This window comes from Homo sapiens, chromosome 12 (genome assembly GCF_000001405.40).
Source record: "Homo sapiens chromosome 12, GRCh38.p14 Primary Assembly".
Taxonomy (NCBI): domain Eukaryota; kingdom Metazoa; phylum Chordata; class Mammalia; order Primates; family Hominidae; genus Homo; species Homo sapiens.
In genome coordinates, this window is record NC_000012.12 from 116413725 (window position 1) to 116435693 (window position 21969).

The 21969-nt window shown below is 48.3% G+C and overlaps 1 non-coding gene across 1 annotated transcript, besides 3 other annotated features; it reads right to left on the bottom strand.

The window, feature by feature from the left end:
* Positions 13134 to 13681: an enhancer, noted in NCBI's record as "OCT4-NANOG-H3K27ac hESC enhancer chr12:116864663-116865210 (GRCh37/hg19 assembly coordinates)". NCBI's record gives its function as "activates a minimal SCP1, AML or CMV promoter by ChIP-STARR-seq in naive H9 embryonic stem cells {active_cell/tissue: H9 hESC(naive)}" and the evidence as "EXISTENCE:reporter gene assay evidence [ECO:0000049][PMID:30033119]".
* Positions 13682 to 14228: an enhancer, noted in NCBI's record as "OCT4-NANOG-H3K27ac-H3K4me1 hESC enhancer chr12:116865211-116865757 (GRCh37/hg19 assembly coordinates)". NCBI's record gives its function as "activates a minimal SCP1, AML or CMV promoter by ChIP-STARR-seq in naive H9 embryonic stem cells {active_cell/tissue: H9 hESC(naive)}" and the evidence as "EXISTENCE:reporter gene assay evidence [ECO:0000049][PMID:30033119]".
* Positions 14229 to 14775: an enhancer, noted in NCBI's record as "H3K27ac-H3K4me1 hESC enhancer chr12:116865758-116866304 (GRCh37/hg19 assembly coordinates)". NCBI's record gives its function as "activates a minimal SCP1, AML or CMV promoter by ChIP-STARR-seq in naive H9 embryonic stem cells {active_cell/tissue: H9 hESC(naive)}" and the evidence as "EXISTENCE:reporter gene assay evidence [ECO:0000049][PMID:30033119]".
* Positions 14528 to 14594, bottom strand: MIR4472-2 (microRNA 4472-2). Its single transcript, NR_039683.1, has one exon. It is a non-coding gene; the product is annotated as a microRNA 4472-2 (primary transcript).

Below are 21969 nucleotides of genomic sequence, written 5' to 3' on the forward strand. Positions count from 1 at the left end.
GAGCACAATGGCGCGATCTTGGCTCACTGGAACCTCCACCTCCTGGGTTCAAGCAATTCTCCTGTCTCAGCCTCCCAAGTAGCTGAGACTACAGGCACGTGCCACCATGCCCGGCTAATTTTTGTATTTTTAGTAGAGATGGGGTTTCACCATATTGGCCAGGCTGGTCTCAAACTACTGACCTCATGATCTGCCTGCCTTGGCCTCCCAAAGTGCTGGGATTACAGGCGTGAGCCACTGCACCCAGCCAGTGTCACTGCACTTTTCTATGCCTCGGTTTCCTCACCTGAGATGAGGAAAGCTAATGTTATCTCTCAGGGGAGTTGGGAGGATGAGGAAGCTTGCAGCACGTGGAAGCTTTCTTCCCTGGTTTTTTAATGGCAGGGTGGGTAGCAAATTTACTAGAAGCAAATTTCCATCAATACTGAGGAGCAAGGCAAAAAACAAGAAACAAAACTGGCCGGGCGCGGTGGCTCATGCCTGTAATCCCAGCACTCTGGGAGGCCGAGGCGGGCGGATCTCAAGGTCAGGAGATCGAGATCATCCTGGCGAACACGGTGAAACCCCGTCTCTACTAAAAATACAAAAAATTAGCCGGGCGTGGTGGCGGGCGCCTGTAGTCCCAGCTACTCGGGAGGCTGAGGCAGGAGAATGGTGTGAACCCGGGAGGCAGAGCTTGCAGTCAGCCGAGATCGCGCCACTGCACTCCAGCCTGGGGGACAGAGAGAGACTCCATCTCAAAAAAAAAGAAAAAAAAGAAACAAAACTAAGGAGCAGCTGGGCACGGTGGCTCACGCCTGTAATCCCAGCACTTTGGGAGGCTGAGGTGGGTGGATCACTTGAGGTCAGACGTTCAAGACTAGCCTGGCCAACATGGCGAAACCCCATCTCTCTACTAAAAATACAAAACTTAGCCGGGCGTGGTGGTGTGCACCTGTAATCCCAGCTACTCGGAAGGCTGTGGCAGGAGGATCGCTTGAACCCAGAGGCGGAGGCTGTAGTGAGCTGAGAGCACACCACTGTACTCCAGCCTGGTTGACAGGAGAGAAACTCTGTCTCGAAACAAACAAACAAAAAACTGAAGAGCATTTGCTGGGTCTCTGTGAGACTGGAAGCACATCAAGGATTTCTGCAGCTTGGCTGAGTGGCCCCAGGTCTGGAGAAAAGGGCTGATGAGCAGAAAAAGACACCAAGGAGACGTCAAGGGAAACGGTGCCTGAGAGAAATTGACAGAGAGAAATTCGGATGAACAGGGAAGGTTCAGTGAGTGTGTGTGTGCGTGCATGCGTCCACGTGTGAATGAGTGTGTGTGAGCACGTGCATGCGTCCACGTGTGAATGAGTGTGTGTGCGTGTGTGTCCATGTGTGAGTGGGTGTCTGTAAATGTGTGTTGTGTGTACATTTGAGGATTGTGTGTGTATGAATGTATGTGAGTATTGTGCATGCACACGTGTCTGTGTGAGACTAAATAATGTGTGAATGAGTGTCTTTGTGTGAATGTGTGAGAGTGTGCATGTCTGTGTGCGTGAGTGCTGTGTGTGCCTGTGAGACTTGTGTGTGAGTGTGTGAATGTGTGTGAACACGTGCGAATGTGTCTCTGTGACAATGTGTGTGAACCTCTGTGAACATGTGTCTGAATGGGGCATGTGAATATGTGTGTGTGAGTGCATATGCGATTACGTGTGCCTGTATGAGCGTGTCTGGGAGAGTGTGTGTGTTGTATGTGCATGTCTGTGTGTATGCGTGAATGAGGGGGGTGTGTGTGATTGTGTCTGAGTGTGTCTGGGAGAGTAAGTGTGTGTGCACATGTCTGTGAGTATGTGTGCATGTGTGAACGAGTGTCGTGTATGTGTGAGTGCATGTATGTGATTGTGTGTGTGTGTCTGAGCGTGTCTGGGAGAGTGTGTGAGTATTGTGTGCACATGTCTGTGTATGTGCATGTGTGAATGAGTGTCGTGTGTGTGATTGTGTGTGTCTGTATATGTCTGGGAGAGTGTGTGAGTGTTGTGTGTGCCTGTCTGTGAGTGTGTATGTGTGAATGAGGGGCACGTGTGAGTGCGTGTGTGTGTGCGCGCGCGTGTGTGTCACGGGTGAGGGGATGGGGGCGTGGGGAGGAGCAGGGAGCTGAAAGCCTCCCCGGCCCACAGATCTGGGAATTCCACTGTGACTCCAGTTGCGGCTACACTTTCGGCTGGATGCTGGGGGCAGCAGTGCAGTGGGGTCTGAAAGCGGAATGACCCTATCTGGGTTTTGTCTTGATGAGAGAAAATTCTTTGCCCAAGGCAACAGTCCCCCCGGGGCGTGCCCTCCGCTGTGGGTGACTGAGAGCTCCAGAGAGCCCAGGGATCCTCTTCAAACCCAATTTGCATTAGAAATCAATGTGGGTTTCTTTTTTTTTTTTTTTTCCCCCTTGAAGCCCCAAGATGCCAAGACCCTCGAGCAAGTAATAATGATGCTTTTCAGACCAGGACTTCAAGCTGCTTCACTGTGATTAGTCTCCTTTTAGACACAGGAAAACTGGGGTGACTTGAAGGAATTCTGCTGACAGGTCAAAGGGAGGCTGTGGCCTTCCCGCCAAGGTGACCTCAGGGGTCACAGAAACCTCGGCTCCATGCTGGGTCCCACTTACCTGGGGGCCATGGCACAAGGAGATCCTGCTGGTTTCTGTCCAGAAGTAAATTGAGTCTCTTGTGGATGTCTCCAGGGTGTAACCCTGCAGGCTGAAGCTGCCTGTCTCCTGTGGGGGCAAAAGGCAGGCTGAGCACAGATTCCAAAGGCCCTTTTGTGGTCAGCTCTGACACGAGGCAGTGGAGTGTCATGGAATAAGAGGCAGCTTACCCATCAGAATGGGGTTTGAGTGCTGTGAGAATGACCTCGGTTTCCCCATCTGTAAAATGAGGAAAAGTATCCTCCTACATAGGGCTTATTGTCTGAGAGCTAAATTGATGTAGAAAGTTTAGCACGGTGTAGGTGCACACTCAGGAGTGGTAAACCGTTAGAGTTATGGCATCTTTACCATCATCATCATCATCATCATCAATACCATCATCGACTCATGAAAAAGCCACTGCCCTAGCAAAGGAGGTCCTGAGAATTCCAGAGTTCCAGGATCTGAGGGGGCTAAGAAAACTCACTCCAGGCCAGGCACGATGGCTCGCATATGTAATCCCTGCACCTTGGGAGGCCAAGGCGGGAGGATCACTTGAGACCAAGAGTTCAAGACCAGCCTGGCCAACGTGGCAAAACCCCGTCTCTACTAAAAATACAAAAATTAGCTGGGTGTGGCTGCCTGTGCCTGCACCTGCAGTCCCAGCTACTTGGGCGACTGAGGCACAAGAAGCACTTGAACCTGGGAGGCAGAGGTTGCAGTGAGCCAAGATCGCGTCACTGCACTCCAGTCTGGACGACAGGGCGAGACTCTGTCTCAAAAAAAAAAGAAAAAAAGAAAACTCACCCTACACTCCCAGCCCCTCCAGGGCAGTGGCGCTGATGGATGATGTTAATTCTGCAAAAGCAGTGACGAGATTTCTGGTAGCAGGTCACCATTCCCCTGGTTTCCTGAGAACCTTGGTGAAGCAGGCTGGAGAGGTTCTGAGAAACCCACCATCAAGAATGCTTGATGTCGGGCTGGCGGGGCGGGGGCATTGTGCACGTCTGTAGTCCCAGCTACTCCAGAGGCCAAGGCGGTAGGATCCTTTCAGTCCAAGAGTTCAAGACCAGCCTGCGCAACATAGTGAGACCCTGTCTTGAAGTTAAAAAAAAAAAAGGAATCAAGATGGAACGTTTTTTATTTAGTCTCTGAAAGATCTGGACTAAGGATATGTGTTCATAGCCCCCAAATGGAAGATTGATTTGAAGGGAGTAGGTGTTCTGGAAAGAGGATGGGTTTGGAGGAAACCTCCAAATCCTGCAGACCTGGGTTTGAATCCCACTTCCGCTCTGTCTTAGCTCTGTGGGTATGAGTGAACAATGCCACCTTTCTGAGCCTCAGTCACCTTGTTTGTAAAATGGCCACAGTAATAGACTTGTCAGAGGCATTTGAACCAGAGCAACTCCATCTTGAATAGGAGCTGGGTAAAATGAGGCTGAGACTTACTGGGCTGCGTTCCCTGATGGTTAGGTATTCTAGGTCACAGGATGAGATAAAAGATCAGCACAGAATACAGGTCATAAAGACCTTGCTGATAAAACAGGCTGCAATAAAGAAGACAGCTAAAACCCACCCAAACCAAGATGATGATGACAGTGACCTCTGGTCGTCCTCACTGCCACACTCTCACCAGCTCCAAGACAGTTTACAAATGCCTTGGTAACGTCTGGAAGTTACCCTATATGGTCTAAAAAGGGGAGACATGAATAATCCACCCCTTGTTTAGCAATAATCAAGAAATAAGGCCAGGCACGGTGGCTCATGCCTGTAATCCTAGCACTTCGGGAGGCCGAGGCAGGTGGATCACCTGAGGTCAGGAGTTCAAGACCAGCCTGGCCAACATGGTGAAACCCCATCTCTACTAAAAATACAAAAATTCTTTGATTCCTTTACTTTCTTAATAAACTTGCTTTCCCTTTATGGACTCACCTTGAATTCTTTCTTGCAGAAGATCTAAGAACCCTCTCTTGGGGTCTGGATCTGGACTCCTTTCCTGTAACAGACCCGCTTGGATGACATACATCAGATGCAGGCACACAGTAGGAGGCTTAAAATAGTGGCTCTGTTGGTTTAATCCATTCAATCGGCGAGCAAACTGGTTTGAGACCATTGAAATGATTCTTGACAGTGAAACAGGGTGTTTACTCAGGCCACAAACATTTACAAAGAACCTAGTATGTGCCAGATCCCAGGAACTCCAAGGGGAATGAAACAGGACCCCTGTCTAGTGGGGAGAGAAGGATCCAAGTGGAGGAGGCGAATGTCTTCTGATCGCAGGCCCCCAGGAGACGCCTCTCAGGCAACAAGCAGAGGGTGGCGTGCTCCTCTAGGGAGCTTCCCTGGCAGCTGGGCCTCCAGGGAGAGTAGACCCACCCACAGAGTCTCGAGGGACCTGCCATGGTGGTCCTCAGAGACACAGGATGACAGTGACAGGCTTTCTAAGCCCAGAAACAAAACAATAGAAGAAGAAAAACATTGCTGAGTTGTCCATTGGGAGGGTGTCCTGGAAAGAGAACTGCGTTTAGAAACATGGACATGCGGTAGGGGGCCGGGTGCTGTGGCTCACGCCTGTAATCCCAGCACTTTGGGAGGCCAAGGAGGGCGGATCACCTGAGGTCAGAAGTTCAAGACCAGCCTGGTCAACATGGTTGACCATCTCTACTCAATATACAAAAATTAGCCGGGCGTGGTGGCGGGTGCCTGTAATTCCAGCTACTCGGGAGGCTGAGGCAGGGGAATCTCTTGAACCTGGGAGGTGGAGTTTGCAGTGAGCCAAGATCGCGCCATTGTGCTCCAGCCTGGGTAACAAGAGCGAAACTTCGTCTCAAACAAAAAAAGAAAGAAAGAAACATGGACCATGGATGTGTGGCCGGGCACGGTGGCTCACGCCTGTAATCCCAGCACTTTGGGAGGCTAAGATGGGTGGATCACCTGAGGTCAAGAGTTTGAGAACAACCTGGCCAACCTGAGGAAACCGTGCCTCTGCTAAAAAATACAAATATTAGTCAGGCATGGTGGTGCATGCCTGTAATCCCAGCTACTCCGGAGGCTGAGCTGGGAGAACTGCTGGAACCCAGGAGGCGGATGTTGCAGTGAGCCGAGATCGCGCCATTGCATTCCAGCCTGGACGATAAATCAAGACTCAGCCTCAAAAAAAAAAAAAAAAAAAAAGACACCAAATTGGATTTAGGGCCCACCCTAATCCAGTAGGATCTCATCTGAACTAATTACATCTAGGCCTTATTTCCAAATAATGTTGCATTCATCAGGGATGAACATGAATTGGAGTGGAGTGGGGCAGCAGAACACTGTGCCACCCTATACACCACCCAAGCATGGGAGTCATAAAGCCCTGGGTTCAAAGCCCAGCTCTGACACTAGTGAGTGGTGGATTTGGGGTAGACTTCTTAACCTCTCCAGGCCTCTTTTTCCTCATCAGAGAAGTGGGGGAATAGGTCAGGTGGAGTCGCTCATGCCTGTAATCCCAGAACTTTGGGAGGCCAAGGCGGGCAGATTACTTAAGGTCAGGAGTTCAAGACCAGCCTGTCCAACATGGTGAAACCCCGTCTCTACTAAAAATACAAAAATTAGCTGGGTGTGGTGGTGCACGTCTGTAATCCCAGCTACTCGGGAGGCTGAGGCACGAGAATGGCTTGAATCTGGGAGGCTGAGGTTACGGTGAGCCCAGATGGCACCACTGCACTCCAGCCTGGGTGACAGAGCAAGACTTTGTCTCAAAAAAAAAAAAAAAAAAAAAAAAAAAGAAAGGAAGAAAAAGAAAAATGAGGGAATAATGCATGCCCAGCAGGGCTGTTCTAAAGATCCGACGAATGTATGTAGAACACATAGTAGGTTTCATAAAACAGAAAAGGTAATTGTCTCTATTCCTGGAAGGATCTGCCTGGAACCTGCCGGCCCCCTGCAGCTGGCTTCTTAAATGCCTGCAGCTGGTGCAAGCCTCTCACTCCAAGATGTTTCCACCCCAGACACATCCCAGAGCCCCCTGCATCTCCTGGGAGGACGAGGATGGATGGAAGCGTGCTGCCAACGCTGGGACACCTGCTTGCTTTCTGGGCAGTGGCCAGGAAATCGCATCTGCTGCCAGAAGAGAGCACCTGCACATCCCGGAGAAGGGAAGGGGACAGAGCCGTGTGATTCTAGCAGAGGAACACCCATAGGATTCCTTCTGTTGTTCCCAAGGTCCAGGCTCCCAGGCTGAGTAGGCAGGAAGGAGAATGTGTCTTCACACAGGAAGCCTCACTGCCCAGAACATGGGACAGATCTAGCTGGAGCTGTGCTCAAACAGCTGTGGAGGCATTATAAATCTCTCTCCCCGAGATGAGGTTCAGAGGCTCTTGACATGCCCTGCTAATGGTAAATCTTCCAGTGCCCACAGAGCAAGCCCTGGACTCTTAGAGCATCAAGGTGAGACTGCCTGCCCCCCTTAAGCCTGTTAATGGCATCAGTGATGTATTCCCCTCCAAATGTGGAAGGCTGCCTCTTTCTTCATTGGAAGCATCAAGGGAGTTTTAACTGTAAAACAGACTGTGCTTCAAATCCCATCTAAATGCCTCATCCTGAAGCTCTGACCTGCCACTTTTCTGCAAATGACACTGGGTGATTTGAATGGGATTAGATTGGACAGTGGCCCCTGGCTGTTGTTTAAGTTTGTGTGGGTTTTGTTGTTTGTTTGTTTTAATGCAACCTGTCTTTAAATCTTCACTTTCAAAAAAAAAAAAAAGTGGTCATTAGCCTTATTTTTTATTTAGAGGATGTGAAGTCAGAAGTTCCCTTCCCTGATTTATTACCTCATAGGTTTATGACTTTGAAGAATCATTTCATCTCTTTTAGTTTCCTCATCTGTAGAAAGGTGATTGTAAACTCTTTCTTATCGGCTGGATACAAAGATGAAATGAGATATCCTATGGCTATCAATCAGAGTTTTGAGTTGTAAACAATCCATGGTATGCTGATAAATAGACTCTTCCAAAACAAAAAAAGCCCTGATTTGTAGCAGTTGCCAATTTCCGTGGTGAAACTACACCCATCTTGGCTGATTTTAAGTGACCAACATGATGTCACTGAAAATTGAATTGGGAAGGGGTGCAAACCTTCTCCTGAGCTGGTAGGAGCTGACTCCAGCACGCCCCTGAAGACAACAGATACCAATGCTGACTAATTTTATTAGGAAAAATATATACCCAAAGGATATGGGGTAGCTTGCAGAATTTCCAGCAGGCAAATTGGATTTGGAGTTAGTTTGTGCATTCAGGAGTAACTCCCACATTGCCCCAGAAGTCGTCCAATAAGTGAAGATGCTACTGCTGTTCCCTCTGTCACAGACACAGTTATATCCTCCCTTATAGCCAACAATTCTGGACACCAGTCAGTGCCACTAAAACTGCAGCCACTGACATCTCTGAAAATGCCATGTAGCTGCTGGGCTGCTACTACTCCCAGTTAGCACTGAGATGTACAGTTTCTATTTCCTCCACAATTAGTGTCTCATTTAATCTGGGAAAGTGCACCTGATTGGTGGAGCCAAGTCATGTGCCTGTGCCCTAGCTGCAAGGGAAGCTGGGGAAGGGAGAGTGTTAGTTTCTTGTGACTGCCATAATGAGTTCTCTAATGTTGTAATGAAGTCTCTAGAGGAGGACCCTTCCTTGCCTCTTCCAGCCTCTGTATCTCTCTTCTGTGTGGCTCCTAAAATGTTACTTGTCATTGCATTTAGGGCCCACTCAGTCAATCCAGGGTGATCTCATCTTGAGATAATACTTAAGCTTAATTACATCTGCAAACACAGTTTTTTCAAAAAGAGTCAAAAGGTAAATTATTTTCAGTGTCAAAGGTCATACAGTTGCAACTACTTAACTGCTGTTGTAGCATGAAAGCAGCATAGACAATATGTAAATGAATAGATGTGGCTGTGTGCCAATAAAACTTTATTAACAAAAACAAGTGGTGGGCCAGATTTGGCCCATGGGCTGTAGATGGCTGACTCCTATTCCAGAACATGAAGGAGCCCAGCTTGTGATGAGTGCTCAGTAAGTGTGGGTTGAGTCTTCCGTCTACAGTGTCCTTGAAATGTATTGAACATGGGGACCAAGCGAGGGCAGAAATTAATAAAGAATTCAAAGAACACTAACACTCTGTGGCCCATATTCTTTTTTTTTCTTTGAGACAGGGTCTCACTTTGTCCCCAGGCTGGAGTGCAGTGGCTTGAGCTTGGCTCATTGCAACCTCCGCCTCCCGGGTTCAAGCAATTCTTCTGCCTCAGCCTCCCCAGTAGCTGGGACTATAGGCACCATGCCACCATGCCTGGCTAATTTTTGTATTTTTAGTAAAGATAGGGTTTCACCACGTTGGCCAGGCTGGTCTTGAACTCCTGGTCTCAGGTGATCCACCCACCTTGGCCTCCCAAAGTGCTGGGATTACAGGCGTGAGCCACCAAACCCTGACTTATTTTGTATTTTTTGTAGAGATGGGGTTTTGCCATGTTGCCCAAGCTGGTCTCGAACTCCTAGACTCAAGCAATCCACCTGCCTCAGCTTCCCAGAGTGTTGGAATTACAGGTATGAACCACCGTGCTCAGCTCCACATTCTTGAATAGACTACACAAAGGTGAAAAATTGGACCCCCAAAAATAAATACACAAAAATCAAGTTTGTGAGATGAGTGTTACCTGTTTTGGAACCCAGGGCTAATGTGGCTTACAATTTGATCTCTGGTTTCATGCTCAGTGACAGCATCCAGCCAGAGACCGGGGTGCCTCTGGTCATCAGGAAGACCAGGGAAGAATGTAGAGGGATTTACACAAATTCACCCCATTGGAGGAGAAACACAGGCAAAAGCCTAAGTGTCACGCTGACAAAGAACAGAAACTATCAACTGCTGCCTCCATCAGGAGTGAATCACATGAAATCCAGATTTTCTACTTCCAGGATTGCAAAACATCCAAGAAACAGAGTCTGAAGGGTAAAAGAAACAAAGAGTGATAGCGTGAAAAATAAATCAGCTCTGAAGGCTGCCGGACCTGGGTCCAATTCTCAGTTGCCTGGTGACCCAGACCAGTCACTTTACTTTCCAAGCCTCAATTTCCATATCTGTAAAATGAGGAGTGTTAGACCCATCTCACCTCCTGGTTACTAGAATTAAACTACACAATTTTCATCATAAAACATAGCACCTGGCCGAGTGCAGTGGCTCACGCCTGTAATCCCTACACTTTGGGAGGCCAATCTGGGTGGATCACCTGAAGTCAGGAGTTCAAGACCAGCCTGGCCAACATGGTGAAACCCTGTCTCTACTAAAAATATAAAAATTAGCTGGACATGGCGGCATATGCCTGTAATCCCAGCTGCTTGGGTGGCTGAGGTAGGAGAATAGCTTGAACCCGGGAGGCAGAGGTTGCAGTGAGCCAAAATTGCACCACTGCACTCCAGCCTGGGCAATAGAGTGGGAATCTGTCTCAAAAAAAGAAAAAAACAACAAAAAGCACCTATTGAATGCTCAGTAAATATTAGTTCCTTCCAAGCATGACAATGGAATGAAGACTGAAGTTTTCTGTTTTTTGTTTTTGGGGTTTTTTTTGTTTGTTTGTTTGTTTTTTAAGACAGGGTCTTGCTCTGCCGCCCAGACTGAAGTGCATTGGTATGATCATGGCTCATTGAAGTCTCCAATTCCTGAGCTCAAGAGATCCTCCTGCCTCAGCCTCTTGAGTAGCTGGGACTACAGGCATGCGCCACCACACTTGGCTAATTTTTAAATTATTATTATTTTTTGAGACGGAGTTTCACTCTTATTGGTCAGGCTGGAGTGCAATGGCGCAATCTCAGCTCACTGCAACCTCTGCCTCCTAGGTTCAAGTGATTCTCCTGCCTCAGCCTCCCAAGGAGCTGGGATTACAGGCATGTGCCACCACACCCGGCTAATTTTGCATTTTTAGTAGAGACGGGGTTTCTCCATGTTGGTCAGGCTGGTCTCAAACTCCTGACCTCAGGTGATCTGCCCGCCTTGGCCTCCCAAAGTGCTGGGATTACAGGCGTAAGCCACGATGCCCAGCCCTAAAATTTTCTGTAGAAACTGGAGTCTTTGTTGCCCAGGCTAGTCTTGAACTCCTGGCCTCAAGCAATCCTCCCACCTTGGCCTCCCAAAGTGCTAACATTACAGGCATGAGCCACCACAACCTGCCTAGGAGTGAAGTTTTGAAAACTTACATACCAGAATATATATAGCCAAGTAAGTGTGGTCCCTTAGAGGAGGGCCCTGGGGAAGGCTGACCCGTGACCAGCCACACTGTCACTGCACAGCACATTTTGGGAGTTGGTCTCTGATTAGCCTTCAGGGCCTCTGCAGTTTCTCCTGACTCTCCTCAGTGGTGGCAGATTCCCATTCTTGGAGAGTGAACTCAATTTTTAGACAGAGCCCAAGGTTAGATAGAATGGGGTCTGATGAATAAAGAAAGAGATGAAGCTGGCTGGGATCGCTTTGGGTGAGAAAACACTGGTGGCCCACAGGTCTGAATAAGTAACTATAATAAATAATAAAATAATAATTGTAAAATAATGAGCAGAGGTTACTTGTGTGGCTTGGAGCTTGGTTCTGAAGGAACTCCCCAGAGAGGAACTCCAAAAAGCCTTTGTGGCTGGGTGCGGTGGCTCACGCCTGTAATCCCAGCACTTTAGGAGGCCGAGGCGGGTGGATCACTTGAGGTCAGGAGTTCGAGACCAGCCTGGCCAACATGGTGAAACCCCATCTCTACTAAAAAATAATACAAAATTAGCCCGGCATGGTGGTGTGCTCCTGTAGTCCCAGCTACTTGAGAGGCTGAGGCAGGAGAATCGCTTGAGCAGGGGAGGTGGAGATTGCAACGAGCCGAGGTTGTGCCACGGCACTCCAGCCTGGGCAACTGAGTGAGACTTCATCTCACAAAAAAAAAAGGCTTTGAGTTTTGGAGCTTTGTTGAAATGAGTGACTAAGCCCCTGGAGGTATAGCTATACTTGTTTGGAAGGGCAAGTTCTGGGGCATTTGCAGTCTCCGTAAGTTATAATCGTATCTTGTGGAATTCAATCATTCAACTTTTTTTTTTTAAATTTGAGACAGTCTTGCTCGGTCATCTAAACTGCAGTGCAGTGGTGCAATCTCAACTCACGGCAACTTCTGCCTCCCGGATTTGAGCAATTCTCATGCCTCAGCCTCTCGAGAAGCTGGGATTACAGGCACCAGCCATCTCACCTGGATAATTTTTCTATTTTTAGTAGAGACAGGGTTTCACCATGGTGGCCAGTCTGGTCTCGAGCTCCTGGCCTCAAGTGATCTGCCCGCCTCACCCTCCCAAAGTGCTGGGATTACAAGCATGAGCCACCATGCTAGGCCTCATTCAACATTTTTTTTAAGAGATGGGATCTCGCTCTGTCACCCAGACTGTAGGACTGTGGTGTGATCACAGCTCACTGCAGCCTCGAACTCCTGGGCTCAAGAGATCCTCCCGCCTCAGCTTCCTATGTAGCTGGGACTACAGGCGTGCACCACAACACCCAGCTAATTTTTTGTTTTTATTTTTGTAGAGATGGGGTCTTGCTCTGTTGCCCAGGCTGGTCTTGAACTCCTAGCCTCATGCGATCCTCCTGCCTCCACCTCTCAAAGCATGAGGATATAGGTGTGAGCCACTGTGGCCAGCCCTCATTTAACATTTATTGAGCATTAACCCCTCTGCTAGGCACTGGGTGTGTGCTGAATATGACTTGGTCTCTATACTCAGGTTTGCAGCCATAAAGAGATATTATCACAATTCTAATATGGAAACATCTAGACAACGCCACCGTGGTCTGTGCAAATGTGCTCCTAGAGTTGTGCAGTGCACAGCCTATACAATGGTATATGGCAGCCTTGCTTCATGGGAGGAAAAAGTATGGAAGTAAGTTATATTCATGGGGTCAGGGAGACATTTGATCTAGAGCATTAGGGAGATGAAGGAGTTTTTAAGGCAGAAGCCGGTAGAAGGGAGTAGGAAATTCCAGACCCAGGAACAGTGCGTCCTGAAGTACAGAGAAGGGTAAGGTACGTTCCCCAAGTGCTGAGACATCTGGTGGAACTACAGGGAAGAGGCAGGCGGGCTGGGGGCAAGGAGGCTGAGGGGACTGATTTTTCCAGTGCATGAGTCAAGATCCCTCAGGGGCTTCTGGGGGAGTCAACGAGGCTGCTGAATGTCAGGCATTCCATTCCTCTGAGTGGGTTTCGCAGCCTCTGCTGGAGAGAAAGATTGGAGAAGGAACACGGGCCTTGGCATGGCACAGACCAGATCTGGATCCCAACTCTGCAGGCGGTAGATGGTGTGTTATCCTGCAAATTCCTTAATTTACAGAAGAGCAGAAGTTTCTTTATCTTCAGAGGAGCAGGAGTTTCTTTATCTGCAAACTGGAGGTCACAGGCGGGGCGCAGTGGCTCACACCTCTAAATCCCAGCACTTTGGGAGGCCGAGGCGGGAGGATGGCTTGAAAGGAGTTCAAGACCAGCCAGGCAATACAGCAAGACCCCCATCTCTACAAGAAAATTTAAAAATTAGCCAGGCATGATGGTGTGGGCCTGTGGTCTCAGCTACTTGGGAGGCTGAGGTGGGAGGATCGCTTGAGCCTGGGAGGTTGAGGCTGCAGTGAGCTATGATCATGCCACAGGCAAAGAGCAAGACCTCGACTCAAAAAAAAAAAAAAATAGAGGGCACAGTCATGCCTACTGTTAAGGATTGGTGACATGGGCAGGGGCTGTAAAAGTTATCTTCTTTCCTCTCCAACCTCTGGTCTCTGTCAATCTCTTTATGTAGGTCTCTTTGTGTAGGGGACAGAAACCAATAATTAGGGTGCTGACAGCACCAGCCCTCTGCGGGCTGAGTAAGTAGGCGATTGTTGCAGTTTCTGAAAGTCTGTCTCTAGCTATTTGGCCCAAGTTACCACATTTCTCGTTAGCAGCACGAGCCGTTTCTCTGGGTTTAGCATTGCCCTCGCTCCACAGTGGTCTTTTAAAATGCAAATCTGCCCCTTTGAGTCTCCAGTGCCTCAGGGTAAACTACTTTTATCAGTGTTTTCCATCTGCCCTGGAATGGGGAGGTAATGGGAGTCGCATACCTTGGGCTGGGAGGGCGGCAATGACGGGGCCCGCTCGTTAGTCCCCAGAGAGATGGCAAGGAAGCTCCTGGGATTGGAATGGAAAGGAAAAAGGAAAAGAGTGTCGACGGCATTGAATTCCCCCATGCACGGTGTTGTGTGGGGTCCTTTGGATGCCCCGAATTACCTGGGTCTACGTGTGCAGGCAGGATGGGGCGGGGCTGGCATGCAAGCTCTAAGGAGACACAGGTACTGACCTCCTGGGACTCACAGTCTGGCTGGAAACTAAGCGTAAACAGATAAGCAAGATACGATGGGGCAAGGAAATGCTGGAATCATAATGGTTACCTGTTTTCTGAGCATTCAGTATGAACAAGGTCTCATGCTAAGAACCTTATCACCTGTTATCTCTACCCTTGAGTAACCACTTGACAGTTGAGGAAACTGAGGCCCAGAGGGGCTAAAAATGACTGGCCCAAGGTCAGAAAGCAAACAAGGGGCATAGATTCCATAAGCCAAGTTCTCAACTGCTGTGTTGGCCGGGGGTGCTGTGGCTCACTCCTGTAATCCCAGCACTTTGGGAGGCTGAGGCAGGCGGATCATTTGAGGCCAGGAGTTCGAGGCCAGCATGGGCAAAATGGCGAAATCCTGTCTCTACTAATAATACAAAAATTATCTGGGTGTGGTGATGCACGTCTGTAATCCCAGCTACTCAGGCAGGAGACTCACTTGAACCCAGGAGGCGGAGGTTGCAGTGAGCCGAGATTGTGCCACTGCACTCCGGCCTGGGCGACGGAGCAAGACTCTGTCTCAAAAACAAAAACAACACCCCCCACCCCCACCAAAAAAAATAAAACAAAATCAACTGCTGTCTTTTGTAGTGTCAGAAGCGTGTGAACCAGGACAACTCTATCTTAAATAGGAACTGGGTAAAATGAGGCTGAGACCTACTGGGCTACATTCCCAGACGGTTAAGGCATTCTAAGTCACGGGTGAGACAGAAGGTCAGCACAGAATACAGGTGATAAAGACCTTGCTGATAAAACAGGCTGCAATAAAGGAGCCAGCCAAAACCCATCAAAACCAAGATGGCGACGAGTGACCTCTGGTCGTCCTCACTGCTACACTCCCACCAGCACCATGACAGTTTACAAATGCCATGGCAACGTCGGGAAATTACCCTATCTGGTCTAAAAAGGGGAGGCATGAATAATCCATCCCTTGTTTAGCATATCATCAAGAAATAACCATAAAAATGGGCAACCAGCAGCTCTCAGCTGCTCTGTCTGTGGAGTAGCCATTCTTTTTTATTCCTTGATAAACTTGCTTTCACTTTGCACTGCGGACTCTCCCTGAATTCTTTCTTGCGCAATCCAAGAACCCTCTCTTGGGGTCTGGATCGGGACCCCTTTTCTGTAACAGTAGGACCCACCCTGGAAGATCAGCCTGTTTGTCTATGTTCAAGCCTGGGGTTTGCCCCCTCTCCTGGGCTTGGGGTCCGGCTCTGCCTTTGCTTCTCATTGCAGCATCTTGGACAAGACCGAACCCTTCTAAGCCTCTATTGTCTCATTCATGAAGATGAAATAAAAGAGAGAATTGCAAATTTGAAATAGTACAATATAAAAAATGTATGAAATGGCCGGACGCAATGGCTCATTCCTGTAATCTCAGCACTTTGGGACGCCAAGGCGGGAGGATCACCAGAGGTCAGGAGTTTGAGACCAGCCTGGCCAACGTGGTGAAACCCCGTCTCTACTAAAAATATAAAAATTAGCCGGGCGTAGTGGCGGGCACCTGTAATCCCAGCTACTTGGGAGGCTGAGGCAGGAGAATCGCTTGAGCCTGGAAGGCGGAGGTTACAGTGAGCCAAGATCATACCATTGCACTCCAGCCTAGATGACAAAAGTGAGACTCCATCTCAAAAAAAAAAAAAAAAAGAAAAAGAAAGGAAAAGAGAAAAGGCCAGGTGCAGTGGCTCATGCCTGTAATCCCAGCACTTAGGGAGGCCGAGGTGGGCGGATCACCTGAGGTCAGGAGTTCAAGACCAGCCTGACCAACATGGAAAAACTCTATCTCAACTAAAAAAAAAAAACAAAACGAAACAAAACAAAATTAGCCGGGTGTGGTGGTGCATGCCTGTATTCCCAGCTACTCAGGAGGCTGAAGCAGGAGAATGGCTTGAACCCGGGAGGCAGAGCTTGCGGTGAGCCAAGATTGCACCATTGCACTCCAGCCTGGGCAACAAAAGTGAAACTCCATCTCAGAAAAAAAAGAAAAAAAATGTATGAAATGAAGTCTCCCTTTGGGTGCAAAATGTAGAATAATGTAAACCTCTCCAAAAAGACAAAAAAAAAAAAAAAAAAAAGCATCAATAATTGCATCATTTCGGAGCTGCATGGGCCAAATGAAGCCGAGCCATGGTGCACTATTGCCTTGTGTTAGCGATACTTTAGTTGATAAATGAAACTTTCCCAGGGTTATCCTTGGGTTATTTTGAGGTTTTAATTATGCAAAGATCTTCAAGAATGCATCCCTTTTTAAAATGTGACCTCCCTTATTACTGTATATGTGTATGTTTAAAAAGATGTAACACATATAAATTATGGGTCCCCATATGGCTCCTTCTACGGACTTAGTTGCATTCAAAGATCCACAGTCTAGCTATCAAATACTAATTAAATCCATACCGTATGTAGTCCAAACCCCGCAGCAACACTGAATACAAGCTGTGCCCTCCTTTTTCCCAATCCCAACTCCAAAACTCCCAGACGACTCTCCCCTCCCTCCTTTCTCCCAGCTCCTTGTTATAGAGATGAAATAAGTTTCTCTAAAAAGTCCTCCTGTCAGATATATCTAATGTAAATGATGAGTTAATGGGTGCAGCACACCAACATGGCACATGTATACATACGTAACAAACCTGCATGTTGTGCACATGTACCCTAGAACTTAAAGTATGATGAAAAAAAAGAGAAAAATAAAATAAAATAAAATAAAATAATAAATAAATAAATAAAAGTCCTCCTGCCCACTTTTCTCACTGTCTCATCTCAAGTCTGTATTTTATTTATTTATTTTGTTAGAGACAGGATCTCGCTCCCTCTCCCAGGCTGGGGTGCAGTGGCATGATCATACCTCAATGCAGTCTCGAACTCCTTGGCTCAAGTGATCTTCCTGCCTCAGCCTCTTGAGTAGCTGTGACCTGCAGGCACGTACCACTGCACCTGGCTAATCTTTTTAAAAAAAATTTTTTAGAGATAGCTGTCTTATTGGCCAGGTGCAGTGGCTCACATCTGTAATCCCAGCACTTTGGGAGGCCGAGGCGGGCAGATCACAAGGTCAGGAGTTCGAGACCAGCCTGGCTAACATGACGAAACCTCATCTCTACTAAAAATACAAAAATTAGCTGGTCGTGGTGGCAGGCACCTGTAATCTCAGCTACTCAGGAGGCTGAGGCAGGAGAATCTCTTGAACCAGGGAGGCAGAGGTTGCAGTGAGCCAAGGTCATGCCATTGCACTCCAGCCTGGGCAACAAGACCAAGATTCTGTCTCGAAAAAAAAAAAAAAAAAAAAAAGAGAGAGAGAGATAGGTGTCTTACTATGCTGCCCAGGCTGGTCTCAGTCTCCTGGCCTCAAACAGTCCTCCTGCCTCAGCCTCCCCAGTAGCTGGGATTACAGGCATGCAGCACCATGCCTGGCCCAAGTCTCTATTGAATGGGTGGTCTACAAGGTTAAGGACTTTAGACCTGGGCTGGCAAGGACTCTTGGGAGAGAATAGGAAGAAAGCGAGAAACACCGGCATTAGTAGATTGCAGAGTTCTAGTTCATGATTATCCCTTGGTCTCATCTCTCTGCACCCTCCTGGAATCCTCCCTATATCTTGTTGATAACCATTCTCAGCGAGGGGTAGTTTCCTAACCTGCCCTGTCCCTCCCCTCCCCAACCCTTGGCTGCCTCCTCTGCCGGCCTATCTGCTCCTTCTTTAAGAGTGATCAGTCATGCATTGTCCCTTTTATGTTCCTTCTCTAGGGTCCCCAGGCACACTTAGCCACTCCTCAGCTCTGGATTCCACTCACATACATGCATTTCCTTGACAATGATCTGCAATGGTTTGTCTATAGGTAAATTTCATCTCTAGGCTGTGAGCTCCCAAAGGGCAAGGACCGATTCACTTCCATCCCTCTATCCTCAGCACTGAGCCCTGCAGACATAGTAGGTGCCCAATAAATATCGCTACATAACAGAGACCCAAGAAAGGCCTTTGGAATTGAACTGAATTGAAAAGAATAGTGAAGACTAAAAATTCGGAGCATAAGGACTGACATTCCTCTGGAAGAGGCAGAGCAAAGGCTGACTGCCTCGTTTCTCTTTTGTAGCCCTCTGGACGGTCTGAGTAGTACAGCCACAGTCCAAGCCCTCCCCTATCCAAATTCGGGACATCTGAAGGACCCGACCCAGCACCATACATGGGGGAAAATCTATATGCCCTCAGCGCTCTTTTATTTCCTCCTTCCAATTCCAATCCCAGGACCTTCCTTGCCATCATTCCGGGGGCGAACGAGTTGACCTCTATGCCCTCCCTTCCAGCACAAGGTATGCAACCCCCGCTTCTCTGTTTCGCAACTTTCCATTCCAGGGTTGACGGAAAACACTGATAAAAGTAGCTTACCCTGGGTGGGCAAGGAGACACCCTTGGTATGCTGTATCCTTAACTGAGGTAGATCATTTCCAAAGACCCCATCTCACATGCTCTTTTGCAATGGATTTTGCCACTCCTCCCATCCAAAGGAAGAATTCTTTATCCTCTCCTTGAATCTGGGCTGGCCCGGTGCCTTGCTTTTAGCAACAGAACTCAGGAGAAGTGAGGCTGGGCAACTTCCAGGCCTTGCAGCTTCTATTTTCACTTTCTTGGAACCCAGCCACGATGTAAAGAGGCCCAAGCTATCCTTCTGGAAAGGCCACATGGAGGAGAACCAAGCACCCCAGCTGACAGCCAAAACCAAGTGCCAGACACGTGAGTGAGGTCATCTTGGGTCTTCCAGCTCCAGTCAAGCTCCAGGGGGAGTGTGGCCATGTGAGTGAACCCAGATGATACCATGTGAAGTGGAAGAACTGCCCAGTGGGGCCCTGCCTGTATCTTTGGCTCACAGAGCCACGAGCACTAACAGTTGTTATTTTAAGCCACTGTGGGTTTGGGGTGGTTTGTTACGCAGCCATAGATAACTGATACATTAACTTTTTTTTTCTGTATGAGCAGAAAAATTGGTGAGGGGGTGGTCTGCGGCTTCTGAGCTGGACTTAGGATATCATTAGAATTCAGGCTTCTCTGTTTTTTTTTGTTTGTTTGTTTTTTGTTTTTTGAGACGGAGTCTCGCTCTGTCGCCCAGGCTGGAGTGCAGTGGCGCGATCTCCGCTCACTGCAAGCTCCACCTCCCAGGCTCACGCCATTCTCCTGCCTCAGCCTCCGGAGTAGCTGGGATTACAGGCGCCCGCCACCACGCCTGGGAAATTTTTTGTGTTTTTAGTGGAGATGGGGTTTCTCCGTGTTAGCCAGGATGGTCTCGATCTCCTGACCTCGTGATCCACCCGCCTCAGCCTCCCAAAGTGCTGGGATTACAGGCGTGAGCCACTGCTCCCAGCCGCTTCTCTGTTTTTGTTTTGTTTTGTTTTGTGTTTAGCTTAAAAGAATACAGTCTCAACCTGGTGATCAAAGTTAGCATCCCCAGAATGAGGCAAATTGGCAGTATGTGCCAGCTGATAGGATGCACTGTGAATGAAAGTGCGTAACCTGAATCTAACCATGAAGAAACAGCTGATAAACCCAAATTGAGGGATGTTCAATAAAATCTCTGACGTGTGCTCTTGAAAAATGTCAGTGTTATGAAAGATATAAAAAGACACAGGAACTGCTTCAGACTAAAGAAAGCAAAAGAGAGGACAACGAAATGCCATATGACATCTGGAGCTTCCTTTGGTGACAAAGGACATCATCAGTACAAATGGGGAGACCTGGAGAAAGTTTTCAGATGAGACAATAACGCTGTGTCAGTGTTCATTCCCTACGTTTGATCATTGTATTGTGGTTTTGTAAGACAATGTTGCTTGTTTTTAGGAAATTCAGAGTGAAGTATTTCACAGAGGTGTGATGTCTGAGAAAACAAGCATTTTTCTCCTCTTTATAGCTGTATCTACAGAGACAGGGGTGGGGGGTGGGGGAAGGATACAGCAAAGTGGTAATGTGGTAACATTTGGGAAATCTGGGTGACAGGTACATGGGAATTCTTTGTATTGTTCTTGCAACTTTTTCCTAAGTCTGAAATTATATTTCAATAAAAAGTAAATTGGGTTGGGCACAGCGGCTTACACTTGTAATCCCAGTGCTTTGGGAGGCCAAAATGGGAGGATCGCTTAAGGCCAGGGGTTTGTGACTAGCCTGGGAAACATAGCGAGACCCCCATCTCTACTAAAAAGTAAAAAAAATTATCTGGCTGCGGTGGCGTGCGCCTATAGTCCCAGCTACTTGGGAGGCTGAGGTAGGAGGATGACTTGAGCTCAGGAATTCAAGGCTGCGGTGAGCAGAGATCACACCACTGGGTGCCAGCCTGGGCGACAGAGCAAGACCCTGTCTGAAAAATAAATAAATAAATGCATAAAGTAAGAAGTTAATTAAAAAAAAAAAGGAAAGCAAATCATCATGTGTGCATGGCTGCTCACTAAGAGGAAAGAACCAGCCGCCTGGGGCAGGACTATTCAGGCTCTTCCTGGAAGTCCCTGGCTCAGAGCAGACTCTTGCCCCTTTCCCCTGTCCCTCTGCCTCTGGTGGCACGCATGTGACAAGGAGCCACTGACCAGCCTGGCTGCCCGCAAGGCCTGGAGCCCGGCATCTGGAAAGGATCAGCTGCCACCGCTAAACTCACCCCTCCACCCACAGCTCATTCCCGGAGTCTCTGAAGGCGGGGCTGAGCTTTGGGGGTTTCGCAATAAGAATCCACACATATTCTTCTGAGGAGGCTGTCAGGAAAAAGCCTTCTCGGGACATCCCTGCAAGCACTTTGCCAAGCCCTCAGTGACACCTTTGCCTTCCTTGCTCATCTGAATTTTGGGGGTTCCTGTTCAGAGGCCACAGAGCACAGGATAACAGAGATGATGGGTGAGCAGATCTTCTGTCAGGACACTTCCTGGGTGGTTTAGCTATTTTGTCTGCCTGGGGCAGGGAGAGAGGAGAGGATCCCTACGGCCCTAGGGGCATCATGAAGTCTCTCCAAGCTTTTGTGCTGAAATGTACATTTTACCTCTCACTTCCATCCTTGCTGCACTTCTAATGCAGTGCAGGCAGCTTTCATGGGATTTGGGCCATGCAGGACTCGCAAGCTCAGCAATGCCAACCATGCACGTTTCTGGGCAGAGCTTCCGGAGGGGCGTGGGCTGGGCTGGAAAGAGCCAGGGGTTTGGAATCCAAGCGAGTCAGGAGGGCAGTCTCCGATTCACCACTTCCAGGCTGGGCAGCATTGGTCTAAAGGCTTCTCCTAGGGCGGAGCTTAATACCCCCATGTGTAAAATGGAAAAAAACAAACACACAAAAACAAATACCCCCATGTGTAAAATGGAAAAAAAAAACACACATGTGTAAAATGGAAAAAAATAAACATTCCTATCGCGAATGAAGCGATAGGAAAGTGCCCGGCATAAAGTAGATTTGTAAAAAGAAACAAAACCAATTCTGTTTTTTTTTTTTTTTTGGTTTTTTTTTTGAGACGGAGTATCGCTCTGTCACCCACACTGGAGTGCAGTAGCGCGATCTTGGCTCACTGCAAACTCCACCTCCCGGGTTCACGCCATTCTCCTGCCTCAGCCTCCCGAGTAGCTGGGACTACAGGTGCCTGCCAACACGCCCAGCTAATTTTTTTGTAGTTTTAGGAGAGACAGGGTTTCACTATGTTAGCCAGGATGGTCTCGATCTCCTGACCTCCTGATCCGCCCGCCTCGGCCTCCCAAAGTGCTGGGATTACAGGCGTGAGCCACTGTGCCCGGCCTAAAACAAAACCAATTCTGCAATTCCATCTGCATTTAGTGAACACTGACTCGGAGCCAGGGGTAGCACGAGGGCCCTCCCAGCTGTGGGAGGATTTAGGTTCAAATCCACGCCTCACCTCTGAATGACTAAGGTTAAATTACCCAATGTAACATATGCCTGGTTTCCCTACCTGGTAACAGGTATA